This window comes from Homo sapiens, chromosome 7, assembly GCF_000001405.40.
Source record: "Homo sapiens chromosome 7, GRCh38.p14 Primary Assembly".
NCBI classification, from domain to species: Eukaryota; Metazoa; Chordata; class Mammalia; order Primates; family Hominidae; genus Homo; species Homo sapiens.
Genome location: NC_000007.14, coordinates 69,738,294 through 69,759,688, shown reverse-complemented (window position 1 = coordinate 69,759,688; position 21,395 = coordinate 69,738,294). Strand labels below are relative to the sequence as shown.

At 41.0% G+C, this 21,395-nt stretch overlaps 1 protein-coding gene across 17 annotated transcripts in view, besides 1 other annotated feature; it reads right to left on the bottom strand.

Annotated features, from left to right (window-relative positions):
* AUTS2 (activator of transcription and developmental regulator AUTS2) overlaps positions 1-21,395 on the bottom strand; it is a 1,195,032-nt gene that overhangs the window by 1,033,818 nt on the left and 139,819 nt on the right. The window lies entirely within an intron of this gene.
* Positions 14,359-14,860: an enhancer, noted in NCBI's record as "NANOG hESC enhancer chr7:69209815-69210316 (GRCh37/hg19 assembly coordinates)". NCBI's record gives its function as "activates a minimal SCP1, AML or CMV promoter by ChIP-STARR-seq in naive H9 embryonic stem cells {active_cell/tissue: H9 hESC(naive)}" and the evidence as "EXISTENCE:reporter gene assay evidence [ECO:0000049][PMID:30033119]".

Sequence of the window (21,395 nt, the reverse complement as noted above, 5' to 3'; positions counted from 1 at the left end):
GAGTATCACTCAAAAGAACACTTGTTCACAGGCACTGAGGAGATCTAACTGTCCAATGCACAACATGCAATAGTCAGGGGTGACGTCCAGGCGTTTGAGGCCCTAGAAAGAAATTATGAAGGCATTTTTCTCAATTGGCTCATGAAGTACAGGTTGCACAACCCTAATCCGAAAATCTGAAGTCTGAAATGCTCCAAAATCTGAAACTTTTATGATACCACAAGTGAAAAATTCTACACTGGACTCACATGAGCAGCTGCAGTCAAAACACAGTCAAAACTTTGTTTCACACACAAAATCATTAAAGGTATTTTATAAAATTACCTTCCAGCTACGTGTATGAGGCATAAATGAATTTTGTGTTTAGACTTAAGTCCCACCACCAAGATATCCCATTATGTAGATACAGATGTTTCAAACTCGGAAAAAAAAAATCAAAAACCTGAACCACTTCTGGTCCCAAGCAATTCGGATAAGAGATACTCAACCACAGTACAGCAGAGCAATTAAGTGTATAGGTTCCCCGGGCAGACAGCTGTCTGACCTTGGGCAAATTACCGAGTCTCTCTGTGACTCAGTTTTCTTATCCACCAAATGGAGAAAATAACAGTACCTACATCTGGTAGGGTTGTCAGGTAGATTAAATAAGCAAACACTTGCTTACTCAATAAGTGTTCCTGCCATCATAATTATTATTATCCTCACCCACATTTATTTATTTATTTTTTGTCTAATGTAGAGAGAAACAAGGCCCTAGCTCCAGGCATTAGGCATGAAGAGGTGAGTTGCTGGGTTGAAATGATCTAGCACAGCACATTTTCTACATTAGGATATAAAGCTGCTGATGATCATCTCTTACTAGAGGGCACACAAAGCAGAAGGGCCTACTCTCTCACCAGGTGTCTCTGCAAAGATTGCTCAGAAGAGGGTTTAAGGGGGAAGAAAAAAACACACCTCCACCACCTTAAGAACTAAAAGGCAATTTTTAAGGACAATACGGAGGTTGGAAAATTCACTGGGGCTTTCAGCAAGTAACAAATGTGTCAATGAGCTTTTCTAGACTCTTTTTAGAGTTTAGATACATTTCACTGAATGTGAACATTTCTTTCAGTGAAATGCATTTCAATACATTTTCACTGAAAATATTGGCCATTTTACCCGTTCTGAGATGGGAACGAAACACAGTGACGAAAGAGATGTAGTTGTTTTATTTACTCCGGATCATTTGAAAAAGGAAGCAGGAGAGTAGCCTAAGGTTTATCCCTGATTCACTTAATAACAACTAAGCCTAAGCCAGAAAGTAAATGATGTAATAAAGTGACTGATCCAAAATGCTGGAATGCAACAGTAAGAAAACTGAAGCCCTATCCAATCTAAATCTATTGTGAACAGCAGCAGCAACCAACTAAAGAGGTCCTGAGGTCAACCTTGTGTATATGCTGCTTCAGAATCCTTAAAACAAAACCAAAAACACCCACCCAGGCTGTGTTTGCAATGAGATCATCATCCCCACATCCAGTACTGCAGTGGAAGCCACACTCTAGGATCAGCACCTCAATGATTACAGCAGAACTAATTAATTCTAGCTATTTCTCAACTGGTCCCTGGGGGGAAAACACATCCTTACCCTTCAAGAACCAGATCAAAGATCGCCTATGCTGTGAAGCCTTCTCTGATAAGCCTAGGCTGACCTAGTTAAGTGTATCTTCAGAATTCTCACTGCTGTTTATTTAGTGAAACGTTTATCCCAGAGAATTGCATGTTATGTTTCTGTATTTCAACCAAACAGTTCATATTAGACTGAAATGTGTAGAGAGGAAGCATGTATCTTTTTTTGTATTGCACATTTGCTGGATAAAGCAATGAATGAATGAATATCACTGTCCTGGGTTTTAGTAAGTTCATACAGTGATATGAACACTTTGTATTAAAAGTGTTGAAACTCATACTGAAGCAGGGGGCGGTAAAAGAACATTAATTAAACTGCTTTCTAAATAACTGCAGGCAAACAGTAATAACAAGGAGGGGGTAACAATTTCTGAATAATGGAATGTTTAAATAAAACACACTAAAATCAAAATAAAGTGTACATTACTGTGTCAACATCATAGCAAAATATTCAGCAGAAACACATTGTGTATTGCCCATTTTTCTCTCCAAATAAATCAAAGGAATCTGATCTAATTTCAAGAAAGGAGATATAAATGATAACTGACAAAACCCTGCCCAAACAGAATCTTACATATCAGGTTAAACACTATATTGGGATTCAGATTGTTATGTAAATAGAAAATAAAGTGAAATCACAGCCTATCCTGCCAGCAAGTCCCTCACAGGGAGCAATCCTTTTATCTCTACTACCTATACAACCACTTACTTCTCTGAAAGCCTTGTCCCAACAGGGAAATCTAACTTCTTCTGATCAATCATGTTCCTTGACCCACCACCCAAATATAAGCTTCATGAAAGCAGAGACATTATTTGGCTTATAACAATATCCCTAGAACTTAAAATAGTGCTTATAGCAGAGGTTGAAGAAGCATTTACTGAATTAATGAATACATGAATGGGTGAGAGGAAGGCAGAAAAGGGAAGGAAGGAAGGAGGAATCAGAGGATAAAGCGAAGGACTAATACAGAAGTGAGAAAGAATTTTTCATCTCTGGAAAAGTCTGTACAAGCTGCAGAGTGCTGTGGCAAAGTAAAACCAATATTTCCTAGGATTTTGGTGTTTATGAAGAAAAAGCAAAATAAAGGGTTTCTTTATTGACCCAAAGCAAATACTGACTTTTTAAGGAAAAAATTCAGTATATCTTCATTCACTAATTCAATAAACATTTATATGCCCCAATGTTCCACGCACCAACGCTACAAACAGGTAAATGCAGCAGACAATGGAGCTAGCATATAAAAAGAAGATTTGGACATCCTCACCATCAACAACATCACTGAGCATCCCACTCTGCTTTCTGATAAAAACTGGTAGTTACTAGCAAGTCATCCCTGCATTCAGGCAAAAAGTTCAATTTTTATTGGTATTATTCAAAGAAAAGAAATTTCAAGAGATGACAAAAGCATAAAAGAAATGAAAAAAAAAAGATACAATAAAGAAAGGTAAGAACAACTGGAGTTGTCTGGCCTGGAGAACAAGGCTGATTTCATTAGAGGCTTCAAATACACAAAGAGCTTTTATGAGATAATCCTGAGTATTTCCACAGCTCTCCTTTCTTTCTGAGTGAGGCCTGTGTTTAGGCATTTCCTTCTATTGACTTCAGAGATGCCTTCCTCAAGTCAGAAGTGAATGCCAATATTTTGCTTGCTGATATGTAAGCAAGGGCTTAGCATTCCTAAAACACACAAATACTAGTTTCCTCCTTCTTAGGCTTTAGCAGCCTGTCTGTAGGCATTTCTTTCCCACCCTATAATTTCTTCTCCGCCTTTGTTAAAACTGTAAGCACATCTGCAAAAGACTAAACATGACACTGTAAATGACTGTCACTTCCTTCTCCACCGTATTTGGCATCCTGACTGCAGAAAGCAGATCACTTCACTAGACTATTACACAGGGTTGCAATGGTACAGGTGGCCACTTTACTACCTACAGTTACCTGTCACACATGCACAATGCCAGTGTTACTTGTCTTTGCCCTGTGACCTCTGGTGAGAAAGCAGTAGATGGCAGGGGGTTAGGAAAAGTATCGTCCCTGTTTGCAAGGCTCAGTTAAATCATGATGGTGCATGGCATCCAGGGATAACCATTAGCAAACTATAAAATCATTCAGGTTTGTAGTTCGGCATCTTTTCAGTCCATGGCCTTCACTCCCCACTCCCAAATGTATTAATAGTTCCTCTAGCTCCTACCACAAGATACCCAATCATCTATTTCTTGACCCGTACATGCCCAAAGTGTCCATCCAAGTCAAAGGCAAAGCTCTAGATTCATTCTCAGGACCTATTCTGCCCTGTGCATTCATCTCTCAAAAATAAAAATTAAATGAGTAATAATAACCAATAGAGACTGATAGATAAGGAACAGGGGCACAATATACTGTAATTAGCAAGTGTTTCCCATGGCTCTCATCATAATGTTGCTCTTTGTGACACCTCAAGTATTCCCAGGAAAAACAACAGCGATGTCAGACCCGTAAAATCAAACAGAAAAAGGAAGCGTAGAGTGAGAATTCTAATTATTAAACTCAGCAACACAATTATTATGGCAAAGGAAACAATTTATTGGTGAGATCTTTCTCAGACACAAGACTCCCCACTCTTCCTCCAATCTGTATGCTTAATAAAGATGATTAGTTTTTGGTGGAGATGATTGTTGTTTTAATTAAAGACTATGCTAGAAGAGAGAGTTTGATTATAAAGTAACCCCAAGATACCACGGTGCTTTGTGCCATCTCAGCCTCAGGCACTTGCCTTGCATACCATTTCCATGATAGTTTCCCTAGTCTATAGAACTAGAAGCCTGGATTTATAAAATGAGGCTGGAAAATTCTTGTTCTCGATAAGGCCACTGTCTCAAAATGGCCAGCTCCAAGCCTCACTCACCTCTGCCTGTCCGCCCCAAACCACTTGATGGGTGACCTCGTCAAGTCACTTAACCTCCTTATATCTCTAATCCCTCAGCTGAACAATTAATTGTGCTCCCTCATCTCATGGGAATGTTGAAAGAGATCACTATTAACAGACTAGTCCTTACAAAGTTATTTGCTAATGCAAAATCACTACATGAGGCTGTGTCCTGAGGGCCACAGTGTGGTGTAATGCGAACAGAAAGGACTTGGAGTTGGATGTAATCAGGTATTAACCTCAACCCTGCAATTTAGGAGCTGTCCAGGGATGGCAAACAAATTACTTATGCTCTAAACCTAAGTTTCTTTATTTGAAAAACGGTGAGAAATAACACCTTCCGCTTGTTGCTGTTTTGAGAATGAGATGAGCTAAGATATGCAGATTACTTAAAGTTCCTGGCACAAAACAGGAACTCGAATGTCATTTTCCTTTACAAGTACAACAGTATCTACTGTAACTTCTCCTGGGCACCTGCACTGGAGATGACCTAAATAGGCCCCACACAATCCCCATCTGAAATACTGCAGCAGTCTTCTGTGTTCCTATTTCTACTCTACTCACCATCCACCCTTCATCTTCTACCATGCCATGAGCAAATGAAACCCCTGAAAATGCATCTCTCATACCATCCTCCCTACTTAACAGCCTGCAACAAATCCCTATTCCAACAGAGTTAAAGTCAAAAGCCTCACATACAAATCCCTGTATCTTACAGAGTAAAAGTCTAAAGACAGAAAAGGCCTTTGACAGTCAGCTCTAGCTGAAACTTTTACTTCCTACCTCCCAAACCATCCTTTGCTCCTTCTCCCACTATACTCTATGCTCATCAAAACCACCTTGGAGCCTCTGTATGTAACATATGTTGTCCCCACCCCTTCTCAACAGATGAACACCTCTTCCCACACAGTGTTGGGGCCTGGATTGGCTGAGGCATGAAGAGAGGTGCTTGGTAACCCGACCTTCTTTAACCTCCTCTTCCAGTTGAGTCACCTGTGAAGACACCAGAGGAGGGAAAGGAGCACTCTGCACAAAACCACACAGTAGGCAGCAAGAAGCAAGGCAGATCCAAGCTCTGCCTTCATAAAGGTCACTTCGAGGGGATGTCACAGTTGAGGCAAAGGAAAACAGGCCACTGTTAGACTACATGTGAACAGCAGAAAACCAACCTGTAGCACAGAAAGACCTATATAATTCAGCAATGTTCGGCACCAGCTTAATCACAAGCCCCCATGCATGGCCTGCTGGTCTGAGAACCTGAACCTCAGGGAGACTGCCAGCTCTTCCAGAAATCCTGGGAGCCCAAGTATCTTACATTCTTAATATAAGCTCCTCCAGCTCCAGAGTGGATACAAATCTTCCTTGAGTTGGAAGTTATTTCCTGAGCCTTTAACATTTGACAAAATACCAAAATTGACTTTTGGATAAGCACTGTTGTCAACTCAAGATGATGAAAATACCACACCACATAGTTTTGGACTTTCCTGACACTAACAAAGGTTGTTCACAAACATTACCCATATTGCACCCTCACACATCCCCTTTTCATGGACAGGAAACTTCAGGAAGACTAAGTAACTCCCGCATAGCCAAAGGGGCAGAGCCTAGTTCTCCATGATCTACCAATTCTCATATTCTCTGAACTGCCCAGGCTTGTGAGCCACTGGGGAACAGAATTACCACCAAGCTTCTCCAGAAATGGAGGGCATCCTGACTCATTTTTCTCATGCCTTTCCCTAAGCACAAAAGAAAAAAAAAAACAGATCAACAGGAACAATTTCCAACTCACTGTTACAAGGTAGGGAAATTTCCACATTACGTGTATCTAGAGGCACACCAGACAAATGTATGACAGACCAGCAGACCAGCCAAACAAACTCCACAAAGAAGTAAAAGGAGATGCTCCTTTCAGCACCTCTTGTGTGCCAGGCACTGCACTTCACATTCTCACATACATGATCACATTTAAGTTTTCCAACTGCGAGGTAGCTATTACCATCCCATTTTATAATTATAAAAACTGAGGGCACAGAGGCTCAGTGACTTGCCCTAGGCCATTCAGTGAAGCCAATATCTAAACCCCAGATGTTTCTAAACACTATGCTTCATTCTAGACAGTACACAGTCGTTGGTCAGGAAACATGAGTTCCTTTGAAAAAGGTATGCTGGAGACATAAAATTACAACAAGTTAATATTACCTAGAACATACACAGCTGCTGTTCCAGTCCCTCAGCTCACCGCAGATCCAAAACACCCAGCTTCATTTCCAATTTCCCCTGAGCCTCCATCACTGACTCCTTAGAAATTTCTATTAGTCTCTTATCTCCTTTCCCATTGAAAAAGAATGCCTTCCTCCTAAAAGTCATATTTTTCCATAAGTGACCTGAAAGACAACTAGAGAGCAAGAGAACTCTTATGAACTCGACAATTTTCCATCCTCTCAAAGATTAATTCACCCACGAGTCAACCGCGAGTGTCACAATTTCAAAAACCGTTCATTTTTTAACCCAACAATTATCCTGATCAAAATAAGTCGCACACAAGATTCTGACCTTAAATACTGAGTGCAAGCGGCATTGATTAAAAGCCTTAAACTTATCCTTTTATTGGCAAAAACACATTCAGGGGCAGTTATTCACGGCATCTGGTTCAGAAATTAGATACAGAGTTAACTGTAGATTGATTAGTGCTTAGTATAAAGAAGAAAAAGACTAATTCCTATATTATTCCTGGCTCAGCAAGCGACAGCCTTGGCTTGGATCCATGACAAGGGGCCCAGAGAGACTCTAGGCCCCATCTGCACAACAGGAACCTGGGCAAGCCAAAGCTGTGTTCTGACAAGTGGTGTTTCCTCCCACTGGGAGAAAGAACACCTCTGCAGAGAGCAAGGGCCCACCCCAGCCCACTGACTCTCCCAGTGGTCCAAATATCCTGCTGTCACTGGAAAACAGCACTTCTAGGAGCCAGTGCCAGACCAGTGAACTCAAAAGAAAGGCTCCTTAGTCAGTACAGGGGCACTGTCTGGGCATTAAGGCCGGGTGTGGGGCGGGGGGTGGATTTTGGACCACATTAAGGGACAGAGAGATGGATGAGGCAAATCACCATCTGTGATAATAGTCATCAAAAAAAAATTTAACTTTTAGTGAGTACTGTGTATTGGGCACTATTATAAGAACTTCATGTGGATTAAGTAATATATGTAATCCTTCCAATTCCACAAGTTTTGTTATAACTACTATTTTAACTACAAGCTATCCGAGACACAAAAATGCTAGATAAAGTAAGATCCAAGGTCACGTTCAGCCACTAAGTGGTAGAGAAAGGATTACAACCCAGGAAGTCTAGGTTTCAGAATCTTTTAAGCCTAAACACTATACTACTATACTTCCTCATGATGACACCTGGCCATACCTTTGCAGATGCAATAAATCGAACAAGTAACTATTATATGTCTACATAACTGAAGAAGTTTATATGCTGAGAAACAATCCCACAGGCTAAACCACTGATGAATAAAGGCCTGAAGTTCAGGTCAATAATTCATCCTTTCATCTACCCTTCTTACCTTCCACCTGCCTAAATACACTTACCTCCTTTCCATCATATGGAATAGTACACGGAACAAAATTCAAAAAGTACCAAGGAGAATATAAGGAAAAGTAAGTCCCTGTCACCTCACTCTTGCTTCTCTCCTCTTCTCCCTAGAGGCATCTACTATTAGCAATAGACCAAAAAAAAAATATTTTGAACAGAATATTTAGGTCATAAATAGCATTGAAAATCATGCAACAAATGGAAAGAAATCAATCTGCCAGACCCAGAATGAAAGGCTAGTTGTGGCTAAGCAAACCTCTCAGACCCTGGGTGGCCAATTAGGCTGTTATTTATCAGACACTGCCTCAACAATATGCACATTAAGATAATTTATGAAAGGCTCAGGGAAATGTTTTTCTAGTCAATAATAATTGGTCAGGTGATCATTCTTAACTCACACACCCAAAACAAAGTTTCTTGTGGACTTGCAAGTCACTTTCGTTTTCCTGGTGATTTTTAATGAACAAAAACCTTCAAAGAAGATGTACAATTTTTCTAAACAAAATGTTTTTGGCCTCTACTGCTTGCTGTTATCCCTCCTTATTTTCCAATGCCCTTCTCCTTTTCTTCTTCCATACCTCTGATGGCTTACTACTAATATAGAAAAGGAACAAGTTCTAGGTCTGGAAGCACGGGGTTTCCATTTCATTCCACTCCCCTAATTTCAGTAAGACCTTTGGCAAGTAAGTACCACAATTCCTCAAAACTCTGTCCTCCCTAGTCTGTGAAATGAAGCTAAGACCACCAACCTTTGTCATGCTAACCAATGAAACAATGTTTCTGAAGTCAGGCCTGGTGGCTCATGCCTATAAACCCAGCACTTTGTAAGGCCCAGATCTTTACAAAAAATCTAAAAATTAGCTGAGTATGGTGGCTCATGCCTGTGGGTCTAGCTACTTGGGAGGCTAAGTGAGGAGGATCACTTAAGCCCAAGAGTTTGAGGCTACAGTGAGTTATGATCTCACCACTGCACTCCAGCCTGGGAGACCCTCTCTCTGAAAACTACTACTACTACTGCTACTACTACTACTACTACTACTACTACTAACATAGTATTTGTTATATACAAATAATAATACTAATATACTAATATAATACTACTAATAATACTAATATATACTAATATAATAGTATAATACTAATATATCTTAATATAATAATAATACTAATAACATAGTATTTGTGGAAATACTTGGCTCAGAAAGGCAATCAATATTTGTCAGCATTCCCTCCACCTTCTCATGTGGGTCAGACCTTCAAATCGAAACTTGAGAACCCACACACCCTTACGCTTTTGCCTTTTTCCAGTTCCTAATACACAACCTACCACACTGACAGAAACCAACCATGGTCATGTACTACTACACCAGCAGTGCTTAAATTTGAGTCTCGTCATCAACAGAACGAGAAAACAAGAGAACATACCAAATGAACTCTGAAGACTATGTAAATGGGGGCTGTTGCAATATGAATATCTGCAGGTTATTCAGATTCCTTGTAAACTTTTCCTCATCCCCAGGGCCTACATTCCAGATACTTCTCAAGTTGTCTGTTCAGCCAGCCCCTACAGCCCAATTCAAAGAATCAAATGTGGCCTTTTCTTTTCCTGCGGTTCTCTGCCTTCTCCTTTTCTGTCTGTGCCAGGGTGGTTTTTAAAACAAATGAGAATGGCACTCAAGAGGCAAAATGAATTCACTTAGCTCTGTGCTCCCCTCTCCCTTGCTGTTATTTATTTTTGTGTATTTCACTAGAAGCAACATTTGTCAACATGGCAGCAGAGAAGCCGCAAGCCAGCGAGAACTGTTTTTGTATAAAACAAATAACTTAAGCAGTGCAGGAGCGGTTTTGAATAAAGTTGCCATATGAACAGCCGCAAAGCGCAAAATGGTGAGCCCTTGCACTGGCTGCAGCAGCTGCTTCCACACCCAAAGAAACAAATACTCTGGAAGGGAAAAAGCTAAATTGGCTATTTACAGAAAAATTCAAAGAATTTCAATCACATGATCCAGCAACAGGCAAATCAGCACAGTCCACAGCTGAAAAGAAGATAAGGGAAGGAAGGGAAGAAAGGTGGTGCCTACAACATCTGATGAGGAAGAGGATGAGGGAATAAAGTAATGATAACTAAAGGGTACAGATTTCTTTTCGAGGAGATGAACATTTTCTAAAACTGACTGTGGTAGTGGTTGCACAACTCTGTAAATCTAAAAGCCACTGAAGTGTACACTTTAAATGGGTGACTTGTACAGTATGAGATACATTACAGTTCATAAAGATGTTGTGGGGGGCGGTGGACTCAAAGGAATAGAAGTCTGTATAAGGGAGGTATATCCTGAAGCCCCCTCACAGAGAAATCTACCAGTCTCATCACTATTTATTAAGCCCTGGGCAAGGTGCACTGCTTACATCATCTCATTCAATCCTGACAATGACCTCTTCAGGTATTATTCCCAATTTATAGACAGAGAAGCTGGGGCGCAGAGATATCTAAGGTGATTCTGCTTCTAATCAAGTATCTGTGTCCAAGTCCATGCTCCTTCTACCTCACCCCACTACCTCCCTACTCATCTAATCTCATCACTGAGGAACACAGTATTTATGCTGTTATCAGTGATTTATTTTCCCAAATAAACTTACCCCTAAGCAAATTGTTTTATTGAAACTAAACTTGACAAGAGCTCTCTGACACACTCATTATTTCCCTCTATTCTTATAAAGATACCAAAAACAAGCCTGTATGCTTCTTGTTGATGACCCACTTTCCTCTAAGAACCTGAGTCACTACATACAGTGTTGCCCTCAGGGACTCCTAGGATGTTTGAGGCTGCCTGTTTAGCCCAACTGTCATACTTTTATTTTAATAGCTATTGTGTCTCTTCCCCCTGCAGTCAACCAGAGTTCCTTATAATTGTCTGTACATCTTCAGAATACAAAATTTCTCTTTTATCTCTACCTAGCTGATTGAGTCAGGGATCAAGGGAAGCTTCACCAGAAACTGTTACTATGAAAGTTCCAGCTTTGTGACAGCTATTTGTTAATCAATGGCTTTTTCAATTTTATAACCAGAACTTAAGATAAAGAGACTGCCACCCATCTGATTTGTGGATAAGTGGAAGTTTACAACACTAACAATAATTGCTATTACATTTGACTTTTATGCAATACTTTTAATTTTTCCAAACCACCAGGCTACCCTAGCCCTTTCAAAAATTAAAGATATGGTCTCCCCACACACGCAGTTTCCCATATACTTCATTCCTTTGTACAGATGCCTTATCTAGGAAAGTTTTATCCTAACAGTATGTGAACTTCCTGAGATAAGAAATCTAAAATTGCAAACACAGTAAGCTGTTTTTAAAGGGAACATAATCTCTTCTTCCCAAACTGAGACCCTAATGAGAAGCATCCTCTCCACACAAAATTCAATAACTCAAGTTTCATATTAGGAAGAATCCATTCTAATAAGGAACCCTAAAGAAAAAATCCATAAATTTATTCTATCTAGATTCGATTTGGCTTTGAAATTTTTTTAATTAGAAAAGGAAAAAAAATACAATGCTAAGCCATCCCATATTCTACTCAGCAAAGAAACCCTATGAACTCTGCATGCTTCATGCCCATTTTACAGATTTAAAAAATGGCCTAACAGAGATTTTAAAACGTACGCAAATAATTTCTGGCACACTTTCTCTCTCTCTCTCATACACACACACACACACACACACACACACACACCCCTCTCCTTCTCTCTGTCTGTCACACACATACATATACACACACACACATACACACACACAATGACAAAAACTGTGGGAGAGCCAATCCAGTACTCCAAGCAGCTCATGCGGTGGTGGCAAATCTCAGGCTTTGAAGCCAGAAAGAACTGAATTTGAAATCTACCGTTGCTACTTCTAGTTGCGTGATCATGAATAAGCCACTTCCCTATGTGTAAAACAAAGCTAATGAACCTTTCATGTCATGCTGAAAACAAAACAAGATCTTGTTTATAATGTCCACAGTCCAGAGCTTATATTCAGCAAATTATTCATATTTTACCTCCACCACATCATTTTATACCTACATACCATATTCAAATAGCCAGCATTTACTAAGAACTTATTAACACCATGTGTGAGGAATCACTGTATATGCCATATCCAAGGTCATACCACAGTAAATGGCAGTTTGACTCAGAGTTCAAGCTACATCCTATTTTGTAAAGCAGAAGTACACAAAGGTAACTTTGCAGATAACAACACAGCAATACCCATTCACCAGAGCAGTGGTTCTCAAAGCGTGGTCCCTGACCAGCAGCACTGGCTGGCATCGCCTTGACATTTGTAAATAATGCAAATTCTTGGGCCCTGCCCTAAACCTCCTGAATCAGAAACCCTTTGGGTAGGGCCCAACATTCTGTGTTTTAAAGAGGCATCAAATCACCTGGGGGATTTGTGAAAACACAGATGCTAGGCCCAAGCAACACAGATACTTAGGCTTCTGCCACGATCTTTCCGACACTCAAACACAAAAATGCCAACAATGCCAGGCTCTTGTATCCAACTCTACCTTCTTTTTGGTCACCAGCCTTAGGCAGGCAGCATCCAAGGTCCACACCTGCAATGGCTGATGATGGTGTCCCATGCCCATCATCCAAAGATCTGAGTTTCCCCCCACAAACTCCATTCTCAACACAATGGTCAGAGTCTTCTTACCTAATACAGCCCTCGCCCACAGTGCCCCACCTCATTCAGAGCACAGGCCAAAGTCCTTATAGTACCTACAAGGTCCTATATGACCTGTGACACCTCTCCATCATCTGCTACCCCTCCTCTGCCCTATTTCTACCTCCCTCTCTGCTCTAGTCAGGCTGACGTCCTTGCTACTCCTCAAACACGGCAAGAGCACCCACTTAGGACACTTGTACCTTGCAGTGTCTCCACCCAGACTAATGTTCTCCTAAGAAGAGTTGCGCAGCTCATTCCATTCCCTCTTCAAGTCTTTGCATAAAGGTAACCTTAGAGAGGTCTTTCCTGATGACTAGCACCTCCATCTCAGCACACCTTTATTCCTACACCCTGAATTATTTCCCTCCACAGAATGTATCACCATCAGAGATACCAAATATTTACTTGGTGTTTATTTGCTTGAAGTCTGTTTCTCCCAAGTAGAAGGTAAGTTTCATGAGCACAGAGCCTGTTTTGTTTGTTGCTGTATCATCAAAGCCAAGAGGAGAGCCTATCAAGCATCCATAACCATATACTCAATGAATTAATAAATGAGAGAACACAGTTAATCCCAAATAACTTAGAAAAAGCAGCCAAATGTCATAAAAAATGTTGATGTAGGCCAGGCACAGTGATTCATGCCCTATAATCCCAGTACTTTGGGAGGCTAGGGCAGGAGGATTGCTTGAGGCCAGGATTTCAAGATCAGCCTTGGTAACATAGGGAGACCGTGTCTCTAAATTAAAAAAAAAAAAATTCTTTTAATTAGCGAGGCACGCCTGTAGTTTCAGCCACTCAAGAAGTTGAGGCAGGAGGATCACTTGAGCCCAGGAGCTCAAGGCTGCAGTGAGCTATGATCGTGCTCCTGCATTTCAGCCTGGGCAAAAGAGTGAGACTTTGTCTCCTAAGGAAAAAAATTTAATGTACATACTGGCATTGTTTTTGTATTTTCATTATCAGTAACACAATTGGCAAGACATCTACTAAACCCACACAGAATACTCAAAATCCCGTTTCTTCAGAAGAAATGCCATGTACCATACAAACTGCAAGATTACTTTTTTTAAACCCACACAAATATTACTTCCCCCAAATGTAATTTCTAATTTACAGCTCCAAAATATAATCTATATTGGAATTTGCATAAAACTCAACAGACCTGCAGCAAGATATTAAATTTTAAATTTGCATGCAAGAATGGCCAAGTAATATTAGTCTAGCCAAGGAGATCATGTCTGTAAACTTGAGAGCTTGCAGACGTAATGAGAAGAAAAATTGTACACTTCAACGAAAGCAAGCTGATTAAAATGCTCTGATGCAGTGGTAACAGTGCAAAGGAGGCAAAAGTGCATTTCAAATTTCATAAGCTAGGCTCTGATAACATAAAATGAGAATCACTACTCCAGAATAGGGCAATGGAACATACTGGCATCTGCTCCATCTGTAAATATTACCAGGTGACAAAGGTAAATAGTCTGAGTTTGAATGTACCTATCTGGCCCTACATCCCCCGAAGTACCCTTTGGATCAAGGAGCTATATCACCAGCAGTGATTTATAGCAACAGGGATGGTGATGTTACTATTCTCACCAGTTGTACAGCCCAATCTATACACGAGGCGTAGGGAGAGGTGGTTTTTTGGTCAGCCGGAGAAAGAGTTTCTTACTCTCTGAACCACCAAAATGCAAAGGCGAAATGCTCAATGACCTGTTCTGAAACAACTAATGCAATGGGGACTAAGAAGAGATGTTTAAGAACTAGGCCTCAGGGGGTCCACGACTCTCCTCTCAAGAAGCAGCCAAATGGACTGCAGCACTTTGCAAAAAAGACATTCCTTGAGAAGCACTTGGGTGCACAACAGGATAACAGCAAAAAAGTGACTGAACTTTCTAAGGAGCCTGTTTACAGTGCTTTTGTGTAGCTTGTTTATAGAAATTCTAAGCAATATTTTATCTTTTATTTTTTAGAGATAAGGTCTCACTCTGTCACCTAGGCTGGAGTGCAGCGGTGTGATTATAGCTCACTGCAGCCTTCACCTCCTGGGCTCAAGTGATCCTCAGCATCCCCAGATAACAGGGACTACAGGCATATGCCACCACATCGGCTAATTTTTTTTTTTTTTTTTGTAGTGTGGGGAGTCTTGATTTGTAGTCCAGACTGGTATCCAAGTCCTGAGCTCAAGCAATACTCCTACCTCAGCCTCCCAAAGTGCTAAGATTACAGGCATGAGCCATCACACCTGGACCTACAGTATTTTATTTTAAAAAGAGTCTTGGTGCTCTAAAAGTGTGAAATCACTGGTCTAATAGAATGACTCCTGAAGAGGAAACAGAAAAGGAGTATCAAATGTTGGTCCATGCTTGACACCTTTCTGGCTGTGAGACCTTGGTCAGTTCCAACCCTCTAAGTTCCTCCTGATCAGTAAAAGGGGGTTAAAAATACATATTCCTTAAGATGCAGAAGTTCTACTCCTAGATATTTACTCAAAATAGATGAAAACATAGCTGCACAAAGATTTGTACATAAATGTTCATAGCAGCTCACTTATAGCAGCCCCAAATTGGAAACAACCCAAAAGCCATCGCCAGCAGAACGGCTAAACACACTGTAGTACATTCAACAGTGGAATACCACAGAGCAAGAAAAATGACCAGCCTCCTGATACATGCCAACATGAATGAACCTCAGAATAATTACGCTGGCCAGGCGTGGTGGTTCATGCCTATAATCCCAGTACTTTGAGAGGCTGAGGCCTCAATTAACACTAGGAGTTCAAAACCAGCCTGAGAAACACAGCTACACCCAGTCTCTACCAAAAAAAAAAATGTTAATTAGCCTAGCAAGGTGGCACATGCCTACAGTCCCAGCTACTCAGGAGGCTGAGATGGGAGAAGTTGCTTGAGCCCAGGAGTTCCAAGTTATAGTGAGCTATGATCGTTCTACTGTACTCCAGCTTGGGTGACAGAGCAAGATCCTATCTCAAAATATAGGTACTATGCAGGTAGGTAGATAAAATTTAAAATAATTATGCTGAGTGAATAGGCCAGACATAAGAGAGTGTGTAAAATGTAATTCCATTTATATAAAACTCTAAATAAGAAAACTCTATAATGACAGGAAGCAGATCAGTGGTTGCCTGGGGCCAAATGTAAGAATGACAGACTGACTGGGAAAGAGATAAGGGAATTTTTACGGTGACAGAAATATCCTATATCTTGATAGCAGTGGTGACTGTAGCTCAAAGTCATAAAACTGTACACTTAAAAATCGATGCACTTTATTGTATGTAAAAAATAAAGTTGAAAAAAATACATGTCCCATCTAACCCATGACAATGTTATTAAGGAATAAGTGATATAAATTATATGTGGAAGCTTAATACACACGCCCTGGGACAAAGTCATAGCAAACAATGTATTTTTTATTCTGAAAGTCAACAATATGGTACAGAAGGAAGCCCTGGCTACTGACAACACTGATGAACGCTAAAGTACTAAGCACATCCTCTGTGTCATGCATGCTCTCAGGTCTTCATGTGTGTCAACCCATCTAGTCTTTACAACAACCCTGTGAGGAAGGAACTATTATTATTCCCATATTACAGATGAGGAAACTGAGGCACTGAGAGGTTAGGTAACTTGCCCAAAGTCACAAGAAAAACCAGAGCAAACAATTTTCAGGTAAGTGAGAGTCTTACAAGTAGCAAAGTACTGGGCCTGGAAAGCTACTTTCCCACCTAAAGACAAGCATCAAAGTGTTGCCTCCAAGCAAGAGCCACCAACTCTGCAGAAGGCCTTCCCCATCAGTAGAGTAGAAAGTTAATTGTGCAGGAGATACCCCATCTTTTCTGTGGATCTGGGGAAGAGCAAATAAAAACAGAATAGCTAGAACAACAACAATAAAAAAGACAAGTTGGTAACATCTCTACATAAAAGTCATAAAAGTGGTTTACAGGCAACAAATAATTACCACAACTAGCCACCTACTATGTGAGGCTTGGAGAAGAGCTTTAAATGTGTTCTCATGCAACCTTCCCAGCAACTCAGAGAAATAGGAAGTATTACAATGATCACTGTATAGATGAAGAAACTGATTCTTAGGACAGGTAAGATAATCTACCAAAGGTATATACAACTAGCGAGTGATAGAACTCACAGTTCAATCAAATCTATCTTCAAAGTTAGTTTTGATGCTTAAATGTACTCCCACCCCAATCTCAATGAAATCAAAGTTTTAAGAAAATAATGTAAAAAGTTAGTCAAAGTATGGACATCCCAACCAAGCCTGCATTGCCTCCAACTGTTCCAGTATTTTTCTGAGAATGTAACAGCCACTGTTATTTACAGAGCAAACATGCCAAGCATAGTGCTAAGGGCTTTAGATATGAACCCAGGTAATCTTCACAACAAACCTACAAGACTCAAAGAGAAGAAAATCTTTCCCCCTAGAACTGTGTATCCAGCTAACTACCTTTTGAGATGAAGGGCAAAAGAAAGACATCTATGATAAACAAAAAAGAGCATTTACTACCAATAGGCACTCGCTCAAGGAAATTCTAAAGAAAAGTCAAACCTGAAGGAAGGTCTGAGACACAAGAAAGAAATATGAACAAACAAATTGTCAAATACATAGGTAAATCTAAAAGACCATCTGCCCTCCCCCCTCAAAAAAAAAAAAAAAAAAAGGTAAAATAGGCTGGGCACCAGTGGCTTATGCCTATAATCCCAGCACTTTCAGAGGCTGAGGTGGAAAGGATCACTTTAGCCCAGGAATTCAACACCAGCCTGGGCAACATAGGGAGACCCTGTCTCTACAAAAATAGAAATTTTTTAAATTAGCCAAGCGTGGTGCTTCATGCCTAATACTTAGGAGGCTAAGTGGGGAGGATCACTTAAGCCTGTGAAGTTGAGGCTGCAGTGAGCCAATATCGCACCACTGAACTTCAACCTGAGTGACAGAGGGAGGCCCTGTCTCAAAAAAAAAAAAGGCAAAACAAATACTGGATTTAGGTTGGGGTGGCAGTATGATCAGATATAGGGTAGTCACTTGTATTATCCAAGGTGGTTAGGCTATGGATTTTTTTTTTTTTTTAAGACAGGGTTTTGCTCTGCTGCTCAGGCTGGAGTACAGTGGTGCCATCATGGCTCACTGCAACCTCTGCCTTCCAGGCTCAATCCATCCTCCTGCCTCAGCCTCCCAAGTAGCTAGGAATACAGGTGCATGCCACCACACCCAGCTAATTTTTTTATTTTTAGTAGAGGCAGGGTTTCGCCACATTGCCCAGGCTGGTCTCGAACTCCTGGGCTCAAGCAATCCGCCCAACTTGGCCTCCCAAAGTACTGGGATTATGGGTGTGAGCCACCGCACCTGTCCTGGATTAACTTTAGACTTAAAAGTATATGTGACTTTATTTCAAGGGTAATTACTAAAACAATAGTATGTGAATCTTTAAAACCAAATCGGGGTTCGAGGTGGGGTGGAGTTGAATAAGAAGGAATGAGCTGGAAAATGGTGGTGCCCAGATTCGAATCCAGGATGCCAAGTTCCCAAGCCTATTTGCAAAAGAATACCACCACATTGCATACAATCAGCTCTCAGAAATCACATGTGTGTCCTTAGGAAACAAACATACTATTTCCGCTTGTCATCTTTTCTCAAAGCACATGAAGACTTAAGATTTAAATCCTCAGTGGATCAAGAGTTGATGAGAAATTACCACCACAGGCCACACTCCATACACAGCACTTGTTTTTGGCCTCTCCAAAGGAAATCTTTCCAAGTAGGTTGGAAAGTCAACAAGATGGTAACTAGAAGCAGAACTTTTTTTATTGCTAGAACTATCCAAGCCCATCGCCACTTTAAATTTTGCCTAAAAATTAACAATCCCTGGGCAAAAGCTCTTTCTCATAGCCGAAGGAGCAGTGATAACCTCACACCTAAACTCTGCATTGCTCTCCTATTGAAAGACATTTCTGGCCGGGCGCAGTGGCTCATGCCTATAATCCCAGCACCTTGGGAGGCCGAGGCGGGCAGATTACCTAAGGTCAGGGGTTTGAGACCAGCCTAACATGGTGAAAGTCCGTCTCTATTAAAAATACAAAAAAATTAGCCAGGCATGGTGGCAGGCGCCTGTAATCCCAGCTCCTTGGGAGGCTGAGGCAGGAGAATTCCTTGAACCCGGGAGGTGGAGGTTGCAGTGAGCCAAGATCACACCATTGCACTCCAGCCTGGGCAACAAGAGCAAACCTCCATCTCAAAAAAGAAAAAAAAAAGACATTTCTGATTTAAGTATGTTTTTGTCAAGAATCTTTAATTATGTTTCACAATTGTGTCTTCCTTTCTTTCACTTGCCTAAGATTTCAACTTCAGTGCCTCAGAAGTAGATTAAATAAAGATAAGCTCTTGTCAATCAGAGCTGGCTTCTCCTCCCCCCACCTACCTTCTCTGGTTACTAGTTCCAAATGCTGCCAATCAAGAAAAATTCTTGCACATCAGCTGTCATTCTTTCCTGTCTAAATGACGCTGGTCACACTTCATTAGGAACACTGTCCTGATCAAAAGCTACAGCCAATCATGTCCACAGAACATCGAAGAAGCAGCTGGTCATGTCTAGCTGGTGTCTGGCACAATTCCCACTCACAGAGGATGCAAGCAGGGCCAGACACACTTCCCCAGGGCCAAAGAGGCAGCTAGTCATGTCTCTGGCACATTACAGGCTGCTGTAAACTACATGTCCTCTGCTGATTGTGTTCCTACGTCATTGGCCCACTAAAGATAGTCTCAAACTTGAGTAAGTCCTCGTAGCCACAAAGACCACTGGGAGTTTAGCAGTCCTCTCCTTCATTAGCTGGTTGTGACACTGAGGGATTTAAGTCAAGCTGCTGGTTTCTAATTCTCCAGACAGCAGGTTCAATCCTTCCCCAACATACAGAAGTTTACAACAGCCACCATTCTATACACCGACGACAACATCCATACTCTCTTAGCACAGACTGCATATACTATGTCAAGGAAACAGTAAAGAATTAGCACAAATCTGATAGTTAAAGCCTCAAAGAGCCAATTCTTTCAACTCAAATACTTATTTTCAACTGTATTGACATAGTACTGTTGTGACATTTACTTAAAAAGATGAGGTGGGTGGGAGATTTTTAAAACTACAGCCCTTTAAACACCTAAAGAAACAGTAGGATAGAAGCAAGAGCAGAATTTGGTTGAGGTATTTTTGGTTGTTGTTTTCTTTTGAGCTTGCAAGCTCTTTATTCTCCAGTTGAGCTATCCTGTTTGTCCCCAGGGTATAGTGCAGAAAGCTTTATACCCAAGATTCAACATGCCAGTCATGCCCTTAAATCCCAGATGTGTGTACCCACATCAGGAGCCTGGCTGTGTCAATATGCAGGTGCGGAATGACTCAGAGGTGGGCCATTCATACCAGAAGAGGCATTTGCCTGGGTTCAGAGTGAATCAGAAGTTCAGTTATTAGTAATAGAAGTGGTTATTTAAATGTATGATTTCATCCTAATTAAAACTAATGGGGGAGAGAATTTGCATTTAGCTGCCTAGTAAATAGCTCTGTTATTTCACTTTTAATATCTGAAGGGTATTAGCAAGATAAGGTTTTCAGGGCAGGAGGGGAGGGAAGTGAAGGTGGTGGGTTGTTATTCCCACCCCCTGAAGATTGGTTTTATATCCTATTCCTTTTCTTTAGTGCTTTTTAACAACCTCCACCCATCTAACCAACCCCCTAGGCCAGAACCTAATAAAACATTCCATCTTAGAAAGCTAACAGTCCAGTACACCTAAGAAAACCACCCAGGGACACCACCGAACATCTTGCATTCACACTAATAACTGCAGGATATCTGATTAGGAGAATGCAAAATAAGAAGCCATTAATAGCAGCCCTCATCTCCTTCCTCCACACTGATTACCAAAAGAACAGCAGCAGCTGAATCAGAGCTAAATCCTATTCACAAGGGACCTAGGGCAACAAAGAGGAAAAAAAACCGTTAGAGTAGTGCTTCTCAAGGGAAGCTGCTTTAAGTCATTTTGATTCTGGCATCAATCACGCCTGCCACAAACCAATAAGCATGTATAACGCAAGCAAAGACTAGATTCCATTCCTTCCCTCCCTCCTGGGGTTCAGCACAGTGCACCTAGCATACTTAATTGCCCTGCCAACCAAACTGCTACTTGCAAGGCCTCCAGAGGAACTCAGCTAGTCCAAGGCTGAGTTTAACTCACAGGCTTAAATGTTTACCCTGAGAGCACAAAAATATCAGCTGGGGAGAGGGAACAGATGGCCTCAGGGCAGCCCACTCTCACTCTCACAGAAGCTGACTAACCACAAGACTCTTTCGAAGAGTTTTACCCTCTCTGTGCCTTAGTTTTTTTACCTGATAGCATATCTGCTCCCCAGGGTCATTGTGGGAAGTAAACAAATTAATTCACATAAAATACCACGAACAGTGCTTAATAAAAATTAAGTGTCTCCACCCTTGT